Source organism: Homo sapiens, chromosome 3, assembly GCF_000001405.40.
Source record: "Homo sapiens chromosome 3, GRCh38.p14 Primary Assembly".
Classification (NCBI taxonomy): domain Eukaryota; kingdom Metazoa; phylum Chordata; class Mammalia; order Primates; family Hominidae; genus Homo; species Homo sapiens.
This window is the reverse complement of record NC_000003.12, coordinates 39,182,293-39,196,588: the sequence shown is the minus strand read 5'-3', so window position 1 is coordinate 39,196,588 and position 14,296 is coordinate 39,182,293. Positions and strand designations below refer to the sequence as shown.

General features: G+C 54.7%; 1 protein-coding gene across 5 annotated transcripts, besides 1 other annotated feature; it reads left to right on the top strand.

The window, feature by feature from the left end:
* XIRP1 (xin actin binding repeat containing 1) lies at positions 3,994-13,374 on the top strand. Of its 5 annotated transcripts, none has more exons than XM_047447588.1 (3): positions 3,994-4,143; positions 7,140-10,500; positions 10,928-13,374. In XM_047447588.1, exons 2-3 carry the CDS (start codon positions 7,144-7,146, stop codon positions 10,934-10,936), a joined length of 3,366 nt encoding a protein of 1,121 aa, XP_047303544.1. In that variant the 5' UTR covers positions 3,994-4,143; positions 7,140-7,143; the 3' UTR covers positions 10,937-13,374. The 5 variants fall into 5 exon arrangements, with proteins under 5 accessions (XP_047303544.1, NP_001185550.1, NP_001338306.1 ...); NM_001198621.4 differs by having other exon boundaries at positions 7,064-10,500; NM_001351377.2 differs by lacking the exon at positions 7,140-10,500.
* Positions 4,234-5,223: an enhancer, noted in NCBI's record as "H3K4me1 hESC enhancer chr3:39232857-39233846 (GRCh37/hg19 assembly coordinates)". NCBI's record gives its function as "activates a minimal SCP1, AML or CMV promoter by ChIP-STARR-seq in primed H9 embryonic stem cells {active_cell/tissue: H9 hESC(primed)}" and the evidence as "EXISTENCE:reporter gene assay evidence [ECO:0000049][PMID:30033119]".

Here is a 14,296-nt window from a genome sequence, read left to right as displayed (position 1 = left end):
AACCAGTAGGCTCCCAAAGAGAGGACTGCGATAGCTGGAAGGGAACCACCCTTCCCTCATACCCCCTCCCCGAGCACCTCTCTGCCTGTTGGCAAAGATCAGCTGTTCAACCTCAGGATATTTATTTATTTCCAGCCTCGTTCCCAAAATGATTTGAGAGAGCTTAAAGAAATAGATGCACAGTATCTCCACTGTTAAAAAAATGGAGCTCAGACCTGAAGCATCCCTGAGCAGGCAAAACAAGTTAGGTCTCGTAAGGGACCTTACCCTTGCTTGATTTGCAGACATGCAAAACTGGAGCTCTTCCTTTCTTCTTTCCTTCCTTCCTTCCTTCCTTTTTCTTTCTTTTTCCTTCCTTCCTTTCTTCCTTTTCCTTCCTTCCTTCCTTCTTTCCTTCCTTCTTTCTTTTTTCTTTTCTTTTCTTTTTTTTGAGACAGGATCTCACTTTGCCACCTAGCCTGGAATGCAGTGGCATAATCACGGCTCACTGCAGCCTCCACCTTTCTGGCTTAAGCGATTCTCCCACTTCAGCCTCCCAAGTAGCTGGGACAACAATTGCATGCCACCACACTCAGCTAATATTTTCTTTTATTTTTTGTAGAGATGAGGTCTCGCTATGTTGCCCAAGCTGGTCTCCAACTCCTGGGCTCAAGTGATCCTCCCACCTCAGCCTCCCAAAGTGCTCAGATTACAGGTGTGAGTCACCATGCCTGCCTTTGAGCTATTTCTTGTAAATGCCTATATTAAAGAAAAATAAAACTTAAGTGCAACTAATGAGAAGCAGCCAGCACAAATAATTATATAACCAGGGACTTTCCAATGGGATAGATCAAATAAGGCAACTGTATAACTGTAACCAATCAAATATTATATTTGCTTTACTTCTGTATCTGTCTTATAAAAACCTCCCGCTTGTGCTCCCTCAGTAGAGTTCCCAAGCCACTTCTGGTTTGGGACTGCCTGATTCAAAAATTGTTGTTTGCACAAATAAACTCTTAAAAAATTTATTGTGCCTCAGTTTACCTTCTTAATACCACTAAAGATACTCCAGTAAATAATGCCTAGTTTACTATCTTGACAGCCTCATAATTAATACCATGATGATGTGATATCATTAGATCATTACACATAGAGTGACTAGCTTGTCCTGGTTTTGTTAGAACTTTTCCAGTTTTAAAACTGAACATCCCTTGTCTTGCAAAACTCCTCAGAGACAGACAACAAAAAGTTGGTCACCCTCATTACACAGGATTTGGACCATAAAGTCTACTTGCTAGGTTAAAAATTTAGCTCTGAGTTTCCTAGCAGCCAAGTCAAAGAGAAACACCATATGTCATAAAAATTGTTTATTCTATTGACAATTCTCCTTCCAGAAAAATTTATTTTCTTATTTATTTTAACATCTATAACAGCACTATCCGTAGAACTTTCTGAAATAATGCAAACATTCTGCACTATTCAATATAATAGTTTCAGGCTGGGTGCGGTGGCTCATGCCTGTAATCCCAGCACTTTGGGAGGCGGAGGCAGGTGGATCACCTGAGGTCAGGAGTTTGAGACCAGCCTGGGCAACATGGTGAAACCCCATCTCTACTAAAAATACAAAAATTAGCTGGGCACGGTGGCACACACCTGTAATCCCAGCTACTCGGGTGGCTAAGGCAGTAGAATCGCTTGAACCCGGGAGGTGGAGGTTGCAGTGAGCCGAGATCGCGCCACTGCACTCCAGCCTGGGCGACAGAGCGAAACTCCGTCTCAAAAACAAACAAGCAAACAAAATCAATATAATAGTTGCTAGCCACTTGTCTCTATGGAGCACTTCAAATATGGCTAGTGTAGTGAAATAACTGAGTTTTTATTTTATTTCATTTTAATGTACTTAAATTTAAATAGCCTCATTTGGCTAGTGGCAACTCTATTGGACAGCACAGCTGTACTAGATACAAAGAAACCAAGTGCTCAGGAAGAGCCTCTTTCCTAATATTGAGGCCTGAGGAATTTCTCCCATGAGTTATCACAGGAGGTGAGTACAAAAGTGAGTTCCACCTAGGGGCTTTTCTCTTTTTATATTATATACAGTATAATAGCTGGCTCTTCTAAAGCATAGGCTATGTGCTAAGTACTCTCAGGCACTTTTTTTTTTTTTTGAGACAGAGTCTTGCTCTATCGCCCAGGCTGGAGTGCAGGGGTGCGATCCCAGCTCACTGCATCTTCTGCCTCCCAGATTCAATTTTCCTGCCTCAGCCTCCCAAGTAGTTGGGATTACAGGTGTGTGCCACCACACCCAGCTAATTTTTTATATTTTTAGTAGAGACAAGGTTTCACCATGTTGGTCAGGCTGGTCTCGAACTCCTGACCTCAAGTGATCCACCAGCCTCAGCCTGCCGAAATGTGCTGAGATTACAGGCGTGAGCCACCGTGCCTGGCTGGAGGCACTCTTTTCATATAATAATTCCTTCAATTCTCAAAACTATCCTAGAAAGTAAGAAATTTCAGTACCCACAGGGAGAAAGCTCCTCCCAGGAGAAATCCTGAGAAACCTAAGGCTGCCCTTTCCCTGAAACACTGGTACATCGGTCTCCCTGCCCTTCCTAGAGAGAGCCAGGAGCCTGGGGGACAGGCAGAGGGCTAGAAAAGAGCAGGGGAAGAGACAAGAGGGAGGGAGACCAGGAAGAGGGGGTTCCCAGATGTCCTTACCCCCATCCCAGCTGACGCTGCAGGACTGACATTGACTACATGGAAAAAGTGAGCAATGTCTGGCATCACCCCCTGGTACCAGAGGGCATTTGGGGAGTCAGAAGGAAGACCTCATGTGCCAGGCCACAGAATGCACCTGCATACCCACAGGCATGGAGCCTGGGCCAGGCCCACCTAGGACAAAACACCTCTTTCGAGTTTTTTGCAGATGGTCCCCTGACATCCTTCACCACACTGGTCTGACTGCCAGGATCTCTTGGGCCTCCTGGGCCCCTCACGCCCTGGTAAGCAAAGGAGGAGGCAGGTGTGACCCCCCCACCCCCGCCGCCACTCCATCTGTGACTGGGAAGCTGATGACTCCAGGGTCAGAAATAACCCCACGGTCAGCTCCCTGCATGCCGCCCTTCCCCTCCCCTCCATTCCCAGAAAGCCTGGGCCCTGAGTCAGAGGGAAGAGTCGAGAAGAAAGGACTCAGATAATCTGGAATGAAAACCATAGAGTCCTGCTGTGGAATTCATTCATTGGGAGGCCGAGGCAGGTGGATTACCTGAGGTCAGGAGTTCGAGACCAGCCTGGCCAACATGGTGAAACCCCATCTCTACTAAAAATACAAAAATTAACTGGGTGTAGTGGTGCAAAGGAGGAGCTGGGCCTGGCCAATCTCGGCCCAGTGAAGAGCTGGGCCTGGTCATTCAGATGTCTTCCCCCCAAATCCAGCTTCATCGGGGCTGTGTTGACCTGTGCTGTGGGGCACAGGGTGGAATGGATAAGAAAGAAGGAACTCTTTAGTGCAGAAGGGAATGGGGAAGAAAGAGAGCTGAGCATCACACTCAGAGGTATCCAGGCTCAGAACAGAGGAGGAGGTGCCCAGCCTGCCCTCAGGAGACCTCCAGTCTCCTGGCACGGTGGGTGGAGACACGTCAGGAAGAGTCAGAGGCAGGGCCAGAGTAGAATGATGGGGGCTCACAAGACGGGAGCAAGCTGTCCAAGGTGTCAGATGCCTCTTCTTAGTCACTCTCTCAAAATAGTCTGGGACACCCCCAACCTCACAACCCAGCTGAGTCACTGACCCCAATCCCCAGATCAGACTTTGGATGAATGAAGCTTCTCCCCCTCTGTTTCCCCTCCCCAGCCCAAAGGACATGTAACTGATTCCCCAGGATGGAAGAGTGACTTCCACAAGACCTAAAAATAACCGAACCACTTAATACTCGGAACATAGCCTCTCCCACCCGCCCCCACCACGGCCCACCCACTAGCCAGCAAGATAAAGGCAGCTGCTGGGGCTGGCAGGGGACAGAGACCTGGAGCCAGGGCAGCAAGAAGGTGTCTGTTGGAGCCAGCAGAACAGAACCAATTTGAACAAGAACCTCCAGAGGAACGACGAACCCTGAGACCACAGCTGCTACAGACCACAAACACCCCATCAGCCAAGAGAGACCCTTGGTGAGTAACCTACCTCTCCATCCTTCCACAGCAAGGCTGGCTTTCACAGCTGGGATCCCCTCTCCTTCTGAAATGGACGTATTAGGAATGGCTCTGAGTAGGGGAAGGAGATTGAGGGGCATGCATGGGAGGAGGTGAGTGGAAGTCTCAGACATAAAGAACCCACAAAGGAGGTAAAGACAGTGTGAGCCCCATGGGAGCTCTCAGAGTGGCTGCCACAGGCCTGAAGCTAGCAGAAAGGATAGGCTCCTGCCAGGCTGGCATGATCCAGAAAGGCCTGGAGTTGTGATTTTTAAAATACAGGTATGGAGTGCCTCAGGCTTCAGGGCTTCCTCCCAGGGAAGCTTCAGGCAGGCCCAGGATCTGGAGGAAGGAGGAACAGGAGAGAGGTGGGGGCAGGGGGCTGTAAGTAGGCCTGAGTGTGCATTGCTAGAACAAGCCCCATGCCTAGTTGTTGTGGATGACACTCTTGGCATATCTGGCCCAGGGATAGCTCCCAGGGGCTGGCCGGAGCCCAGCTCCCTACATATCATAGCCTAAAACCTGGGGTGGAATTCGGACTCTGCCCATGTCCATAGTCTTGCCCAGTGGGAAAGCCCCCAGGGCAGATTTGGGGGGCTCACGGGAGGGAGACCAGATCTGAATTTGCCCAGATGTAAAGACATATGGAGCCAGCTGGGCCAAGGAGGAGGTGACCCGAGGACAGCAGGGGGACCATCCTGAGAGGCTGGCCCAGCCCTAGGAGACCAAGCTCTAGGACAGTTCTTGGGGCTCACCCCACGTAAGTCTGGTCCCAGTTATGAATTCTGTCCTGACTCTACACTTGTCCCAGCAGTCTCAAGCCAGGCAAAGATGGTGGTGGGAAGGCCAGGAGTCAGGAGACATGCTTCAGGCTTTGCTACTGCCTTGCTGAGCCTCCTTGGACAGCTCCTTTCCCCTCTTTGGGCCTCTGTTTCCCTATTTGAACAATAAGGGGTTTAGATTGAGTGACCTCTGAGGGTCCTTAGGCCTGACATCCCTGGACTCCATGATAATAACTGTCTGTGGCCTTAGCAGAGATTCTGGAAATTCCTGGGGGCGGGGGTGGGGTGAAGCTGATGGTGTGCACACACCATCTGCTCAGGCCACCCTGGTGGTGACAGGATGGAGTAGAGGTGGAGACAGGCTCAGGTTTGCCTTGGGCAGGGGATCCTCATTGGAGCTCAGAAATGAAAGAAAACCACCCAGAGCTTTGATGAGACTCAGGCTGCAGGTTTCAGAGCTCACATTCCCCAAAGGTTCTGATGTCTTTGGTGGACATGCCAGGGTGGGCATGGGGTCAGCAGGTCTCAGTTTCCTCTCTCCTCCTTCTGAGGTAGCCATAGGGAGGAAGTCCTGCCCCACTTACTTCCAGTACCTCCCCCCAGTGCAGACTCCTTTGGCCAGGGAAGGTGTCCAGGTTCTAGCACCTGGCTGGCCTGCAGCCCAGGGGCCTGACACCAGCCCAGGAGGCAGGATAGGGGAGCCCAGGCTAATGAAGGAGATGAGGTGAGCCAAGGGTACTGAGGGTCCCCACTGGCTGGGCCTCAGCCTCCCTCTGAGCCCAGGGCTGCTGTTCTGAGGCCAGGACCTCAGCTATATTTAGCACCCTGTGTGGTGCAGAGCAGTGGGTCAGGGGCAGCAGGAGGGGGCACGTGCTTCCCATTCTTTCCCTACTGGCCTCTGGGGACTGTTAGTACACCTGTCACAAGAGAGATAAGACATACATGGACAGAGACCAGAGAAGGGCTTGAGGGGTGGTAGGTCATTGAGGGGCGGGGGTGTAGCCGGGGAGAGGCTGAGCTGGGGTGGCCATGAGGCCTGCAGGGGTAGGGCTTAGCCTGAAGCCCCCCTGAGTCCGAGCCCCTGAAGCTGTGCTTGCTTGCTTAGAGAGCGGTATCCAGGAGCAAGAGGCAGGGCTGTCTCTGCAGAAAGGACCCTGATCCCATGGTCCTCTCCCTGGTTGTTGTCACCCTCATATCCTCCCAGGGGTGCCTGCTGGGGAATAGACGGGTTCTATGGCCAATAAGAAAGCTTTACACCTGCTACCCTCTTATTTCTTGGGGCCATGCCCTAAATGGAGTCTAGGGACCCCAAGCCAGCACGGCCTTCCATTTATTCACCAAGATCTGACTCTGGGCCTAAGTTCCCTCATCTTTATTTATAAATGATTGTGCTAAAAGACCTTTGAGATCCCCCTAGCTCAGACATTCTCAGTCTTCGAGTATAATGCAGAAAACCCTGACCAGATATTCAGAATTTGGATCTGGCCTAAGCACGAGATATCTGATGAGCAGCTTCCCAGCCCTGATTCTCAACTGCTTCCGCTCTAGCATGGGCTGTTGGCCTCTGCTTGCCTCCTTGGGCCTGGGAAAGGTTGGAGTGCGTTGACAGCCAAGAGGTAAAAGTTAGGCAGCGTTCCAGGTCAACATGGCAAGTCTGCCCTCTGGTGTTCTGCAAAGGAATCTCGTCTCCATAGGAAATCAGTCACCAGTTTAGAGACCTGCCTCTCCAAGGCTGGGACTCCAAAAGTCAGGATTCCCCCAGGCCACTCCCCTGGCAGTCTTCCAGGGAAACACTGATTTTTAACAAAGGAAGGTGAGGATGGGGCATGTCCAGTTTGCCCACTGGAGGTTTATGCGTCCCTTATGGAGCTAAAGGAAAGTGTCTCATGTCCAGTGGTACCATGGTCACTCCCTAGCAACGCATGAGATGTAGGGAAAGCAGGAACCCACTATGATTAATGGGTCCATGTCCTAAGTTCAAGACCTGTTGCCCACGAACCATGCAGGCAGCGAAGTGAAGCCCAGGCCAGGCACATAGAGAGAGGGAAGGAGTCTCTAAGCGTAAGTCACCCAGAGCTACTCTGACTCTGAGCCCTGTTTACTACCATTTCTCCCAGCATCCAGCCTCTACCCTGCTGAACATCTAGATCTAAGGCTCCCAATCCCATCCTCATCTCTGCCCCTTCTTCTCAGAAGGATGGCCGACACCCAGACACAGGTGGCCCCCACACCAACCATGAGGATGGCAACTGCAGAGGACCTGCCCCTCCCTCCACCCCCAGCCCTGGAGGACCTGCCACTGCCGCCACCCAAGGAATCCTTCTCCAAGTTCCATCAGCAGCGGCAAGCTAGTGAGCTCCGCCGCCTCTACAGGCACATCCACCCTGAGCTCCGCAAGAATCTGGCTGAGGCTGTGGCCGAGGATCTGGCTGAGGTCCTGGGCTCTGAGGAACCCACCGAGGGTGACGTTCAGTGCATGCGCTGGATCTTTGAGAACTGGAGACTGGATGCCATTGGAGAACACGAGAGGCCAGCTGCCAAGGAGCCCGTGCTGTGTGGTGACGTCCAGGCCACCTCCCGCAAGTTTGAGGAAGGCTCCTTTGCCAACAGCACAGACCAGGAGCCAACCAGGCCCCAGCCAGGTGGAGGAGACGTTCGTGCAGCCCGCTGGCTATTTGAGACAAAGCCACTGGACGAGCTGACAGGGCAAGCCAAGGAACTGGAGGCCACTGTGAGGGAGCCTGCAGCCAGCGGAGATGTGCAGGGTACCAGGATGCTCTTTGAGACGCGGCCGCTGGACCGCCTGGGCTCCCGCCCCTCCCTGCAGGAGCAGAGCCCCTTGGAACTGCGCTCAGAGATCCAGGAGCTGAAGGGTGATGTGAAAAAGACAGTGAAGCTCTTCCAAACGGAGCCCCTGTGTGCCATCCAGGATGCAGAGGGCGCCATCCATGAGGTCAAGGCCGCATGCCGGGAGGAGATCCAAAGCAACGCGGTGAGGTCTGCCCGCTGGCTCTTTGAGACCCGGCCTCTGGACGCCATCAACCAGGACCCCAGCCAGGTGCGGGTGATCCGGGGGATTTCCCTGGAGGAGGGGGCCCGGCCCGACGTCAGTGCAACTCGCTGGATCTTTGAGACACAGCCCCTGGATGCCATCCGGGAGATCTTGGTAGATGAGAAGGACTTCCAGCCATCCCCAGACCTTATCCCACCTGGTCCAGATGTTCAGCAGCAGCAGCATCTGTTTGAGACCCGAGCGCTGGACACTCTGAAGGGGGACGAAGAGGCTGGAGCAGAGGCCCCACCCAAGGAGGAAGTGGTCCCTGGTGATGTCCGCTCCACCCTGTGGCTATTTGAAACAAAGCCCCTGGATGCTTTCAGAGACAAGGTCCAAGTGGGTCACCTACAGCGAGTGGATCCCCAGGACGGTGAGGGGCATCTATCCAGTGACAGCTCCTCAGCACTGCCCTTCTCTCAGAGTGCCCCCCAGAGGGATGAGCTAAAGGGGGATGTGAAGACTTTTAAGAACCTTTTTGAGACCCTTCCCTTGGACAGCATTGGACAGGGTGAGGTTCTGGCCCATGGGAGTCCAAGCAGAGAAGAAGGAACTGATTCTGCTGGGCAGGCCCAGGGCATAGGGTCCCCAGTGTATGCCATGCAGGACAGCAAGGGCCGCCTCCATGCCCTGACCTCTGTTAGCAGAGAGCAGATAGTCGGAGGTGATGTGCAGGGCTACAGGTGGATGTTTGAGACACAGCCCCTAGACCAGCTCGGCCGAAGCCCCAGTACCATCGACGTGGTGCGGGGCATCACCCGGCAGGAAGTGGTGGCTGGGGACGTTGGCACAGCTCGGTGGCTTTTTGAGACCCAGCCCCTGGAGATGATCCACCAACGGGAGCAGCAGGAACGACAGAAAGAAGAAGGGAAGAGTCAGGGAGACCCCCAGCCTGAGGCACCCCCAAAGGGCGATGTGCAGACCATCCGGTGGTTGTTCGAGACTTGCCCAATGAGTGAGTTGGCCGAAAAGCAGGGGTCAGAGGTCACAGATCCCACAGCCAAGGCTGAGGCACAGTCCTGCACCTGGATGTTCAAGCCCCAACCTGTGGACAGGCCAGTGGGCTCCAGGGAGCAGCACCTGCAGGTTAGCCAGGTCCCGGCTGGGGAAAGACAGACAGACAGACACGTCTTTGAGACCGAGCCTCTTCAGGCCTCAGGCCGTCCCTGTGGAAGACGGCCTGTGAGATACTGCAGCCGCGTGGAGATCCCTTCAGGGCAGGTGTCTCGTCAGAAAGAGGTTTTTCAGGCCCTGGAGGCAGGCAAGAAGGAAGAACAGGAGCCCCGGGTAATCGCTGGGTCCATCCCCGCGGGTTCTGTCCACAAGTTCACTTGGCTTTTTGAGAATTGTCCCATGGGCTCCCTGGCAGCTGAGAGCATCCAAGGGGGCAACCTCCTGGAAGAGCAGCCCATGAGCCCCTCAGGCAACAGGATGCAAGAGAGCCAGGAGACTGCAGCTGAGGGGACCCTGCGGACTCTGCATGCCACACCTGGCATCCTGCACCATGGAGGCATCCTCATGGAGGCCCGAGGGCCAGGGGAGCTCTGTCTTGCCAAGTATGTGCTCTCGGGCACAGGGCAGGGGCACCCTTATATACGAAAGGAGGAGCTGGTGTCAGGTGAACTTCCCAGGATCATCTGCCAAGTCCTGCGCCGGCCAGATGTGGACCAGCAGGGGCTGCTGGTGCAGGAAGACCCAACTGGCCAGCTCCAACTCAAGCCGCTGAGGCTGCCAACTCCAGGCAGCAGTGGGAATATTGAAGACATGGACCCTGAGCTCCAGCAGCTGCTGGCTTGCGGTCTTGGGACCTCCGTGGCAAGGACTGGGCTGGTGATGCAGGAGACAGAGCAGGGCCTGGTCGCACTGACTGCCTACTCTCTGCAGCCCCGGCTAACTAGCAAGGCCTCTGAGAGGAGCAGCGTGCAGCTGTTGGCCAGCTGCATAGATAAAGGAGACCTGAGTGGCCTGCACAGTCTGCGGTGGGAGCCCCCGGCTGACCCGAGTCCAGTGCCAGCCAGCGAGGGGGCCCAGAGCCTGCACCCAACTGAGAGCATCATCCATGTTCCCCCACTGGACCCCAGCATGGGGATGGGGCATCTGAGAGCCTCAGGGGCCACCCCTTGCCCTCCTCAGGCCATTGGAAAGGCAGTCCCTCTGGCTGGGGAAGCTGCAGCACCAGCCCAATTGCAAAACACAGAAAAGCAGGAAGACAGTCACTCTGGACAGAAAGGGATGGCAGTCTTGGGAAAGTCAGAAGGAGCCACGACTACCCCTCCGGGGCCTGGGGCCCCAGACCTCCTGGCCGCCATGCAGAGTCTGCGGATGGCAACAGCTGAAGCCCAGAGCCTGCACCAGCAAGTTCTGAACAAGCACAAGCAGGGCCCCACCCCAACAGCCACTTCCAACCCCATCCAGGACGGTCTTCGGAAAGCTGGGGCTACCCAAAGCAACATAAGGCCTGGGGGTGGAAGTGATCCCCGGATCCCAGCAGCCCCCAGAAAGGTCAGTAGGGAAGAGCAAGCACTACCCAGAGGGCTGCCTGGGGGGTGGGTGACAATTCAGGATGGCATCTACACCGCTCATCCCGTGAGGACCTTTGACCCACCTGGGGGTGTCCAGCTTTCTCAGAGGGAACCCCAGTCAAGGCACAGGGAGACTGCCCTCTCAGTCCAGGCTCCCCGCCCACTCCAGGGAGGCCCAGGTCAGAGTACTGGGCCAGGGCGGGAGGAGCCTGGGGGCTGCACACAGATGGCCTGGGGGCCACCAGGGAAGGCGATGGCAGAAGTCTGCCCAGGGGGCCTCCAAGCTGCAGAGACCACCCTGAAGACTGCCCCTCTAGGCCGCCACATTCTGGCCTCTGGGCCCCAAGCTGCAGGTGCCAGCCCGCACCCCCATAATGCCTTTGTTCCTCCTCCTCCTACTCTCCCAGCTGCTGTGACAGGACCTGACTTTCCAGCTGGAGCCCACCGTGCTGAGGACTCCATCCAGCAAGCCTCTGAGCCCCTGAAGGACCCCCTTCTTCACTCCCACAGCAGCCCTGCTGGCCAGAGAACCCCTGGAGGGTCACAGACAAAGACCCCAAAACTGGACCCCACCATGCCCCCAAAGAAGAAGCCGCAGCTGCCCCCTAAACCTGCACACCTAACCCAGAGCCACCCTCCTCAGAGGCTGCCCAAGCCCTTGCCTCTATCTCCCAGCTTTTCCTCGGAGGTGGGGCAAAGAGAACACCAACGAGGTGAGAGAGATACAGCCATCCCTCAGCCAGCCAAGGTTCCCACTACTGTAGACCAGGGCCACATACCTCTGGCCAGATGTCCCAGTGGACATAGCCAGCCCAGCTTACAACATGGCCTCAGCACCACGGCCCCCAGGCCCACCAAGAATCAGGCTACAGGCAGCAATGCCCAGAGCTCTGAGCCCCCCAAGCTCAATGCCCTCAACCATGATCCCACCTCACCACAGTGGGGCCCCGGCCCCTCAGGAGAGCAGCCCATGGAAGGTTCCCACCAAGGGGCCCCTGAGAGCCCTGACAGTCTGCAAAGAAACCAGAAAGAGCTCCAGGGCCTCCTGAACCAGGTGCAAGCCCTGGAGAAGGAGGCCGCAAGCAGTGTGGACGTGCAGGCCCTGCGGAGGCTCTTTGAGGCCGTGCCCCAGCTGGGAGGGGCTGCTCCTCAGGCTCCTGCTGCCCACCAAAAGCCCGAGGCCTCAGTGGAGCAGGCCTTTGGGGAGCTGACACGGGTCAGCACGGAAGTTGCTCAACTGAAGGAACAGACCTTGGCAAGGCTGCTGGACATTGAAGAGGCTGTGCACAAGGCACTCAGCTCCATGTCTAGCCTCCAGCCTGAGGCCAGTGCCAGAGGCCATTTCCAGGGACCTCCAAAAGACCACAGTGCCCACAAGATCAGTGTCACAGTCAGCAGTAGCGCCAGGCCCAGTGGCTCAGGCCAGGAGGTCGGAGGTCAAACTGCAGTCAAGAACCAAGCCAAGGTTGAATGCCACACTGAGGCCCAGAGTCAAGTCAAGATCAGAAATCACACAGAGGCCAGAGGTCACACAGCCTCAACTGCCCCTTCCACCAGGAGGCAGGAGACATCAAGAGAGTATTTGTGCCCTCCTCGGGTTTTACCTTCCAGCCGAGATTCTCCCTCCTCCCCAACATTTATCTCCATCCAGTCGGCCACAAGGAAGCCTCTAGAGACTCCCAGCTTTAAGGGCAACCCTGATGTCTCAGTGAAAAGCACACAACTGGCTCAGGACATAGGCCAGGCCCTGCTCCACCAGAAAGGTGTCCAAGACAAAACTGGGAAGAAGGACATCACCCAGTGCTCTGTGCAACCTGAACCTGCCCCTCCCTCAGCCAGTCCCCTGCCCAGAGGGTGGCAAAAGAGTGTTCTGGAGCTACAGACGGGGCCAGGGAGCTCACAACACTATGGAGCCATGAGAACCGTGACTGAACAGTATGAGGAGGTGGACCAGTTTGGGAACACAGTCCTCATGTCTTCCACCACAGTCACCGAGCAGGCAGAGCCACCCAGGAACCCAGGCTCCCACCTCGGGCTCCACGCCTCCCCCTTGCTGAGGCAGTTCCTGCACAGCCCAGCTGGGTTCAGCAGTGACCTGACAGAAGCTGAGACGGTGCAGGTGTCCTGCAGCTACTCCCAGCCAGCTGCCCAGTGAGGCCCACCGCCTCCCACCACACCTGCCACCTGTTCCTGGCCTCCACTGCCCCAGGACTGAAGTGGGTACCTGCCTCCTGTACACTGGAGCAAGGACCAAGAGGAAATGGCATCTTCAGAGGATTACTGTGGGCCATTTCCCTTTCGCAGTTCTTTCAATAGGCCCAGTTCTTCCAAATGGAAAAAGAAAGGTCTGGAAGAGGCCCACAGAGTTGCACAGGCGTGGGGGTAGGATGGGGGCTCCCAGCTGCTTGTGGAGGATGTAATATATACAGACACACACATGTTTTTCACACAGGCCTGGCCCACGCATCGACATGTGTGAATTTGCACACCACTGCCTGAATTGGAGCCCCCCAGAGTGTCCCTCTACCCAGAGTTTTTATTTCTTTAATTAGTCTGAGTGTTCCCAGCCATCTGCTCCTTAATCCCTGGAGAGGAACAGAGCCAACTGGACACAGCGTTGGTCTCTGTTTGGAATCACTGTGAGGTCTCCAGAAGGACCTGGCCGCCAGCCCCTTCATCACCATCTCCATCATTCAGCTGGTCATCTGGTGGCCCAAAGGTCACCCAAAGAGTCAGCAATCAGCATGTCCCTAGAAGCCAAATGCACTGCCTTTCTCTGTCCCCATGACTGTCCCCCACTCTGCACCCCAAATGGGAAGCATACGGTCTGAATAAATCCAAGTTTTATTCTCTACTCTGTGCATGTCTGACTGTGTGTACATCTGTTCCAGTATGTGTTCCTACTGCAGGGGGAGAAAACAGCCACAACCTCCAGGTGCCTCGTCTTCCTAGCAACAGCAGTGTGGGAAGGCTCTAAAAGCCACCCCTTCTCCACCATCTTGGCTGGCAACCAGAAATGCCCTGCCCACACTTCTATTCTCCTTGCCCCTATCCCCATCACACACACACACACACACACACACACACACACACACACACACACAGTGCTGCCCTCTCTATCTCGACCTCGCCTCCTGGATGTTCTTGAATACCATCCTGGAGGGGTTCTTAGAATCCTGCCCCAGAGCTGGAGAGCAGCCCAGTCAGGACTGGGAAGCAGGAGGAACTCACGCCAGGAGAATTCCTGTGCCCAAGATGGCTGGATCACTTCTGCCTGTTCAGCCCAGGTGTTGTGTGCCAAGCAGTGGTTCCTGAGAAATGAAGTGCTCAGATCCTGGCCTGGAAAGTCAGGTTGTTTTGGTGAAGGGCCCTTTTCATGCTGTCTTTCAAAAATCACTAAGCATCTTCTGTATTCCAGGCCTGTTCTAGGCAGTGGGGACACAGAGGTGAGGTCCAATGGGGTCCCGCTTTCAGGGAACTTTTTAGAATGAGGAGACAGAGAGACAATAAATAAGAAAAATTAGATCAGGAATAGGGTGACGCATCTGACTAGGCCACTCTCCCACTTTGGGATAAGAGTCTTAAAATATGGTCATATGACAATGGCAGGTGACTGCCTTAGACGGAGTGGCCAAGGCAGGGCTCTCTAAGAAAAAAACACCTCAGCTGAGATCTAAATGACAAAGAGCAACTATGTGAAAATTGAGGGAGGAACCATGCTAGGTAGAGGGAACAGCACTTGCAAAGACCCCGAGGTGGAATAAATTTAGTTCCTG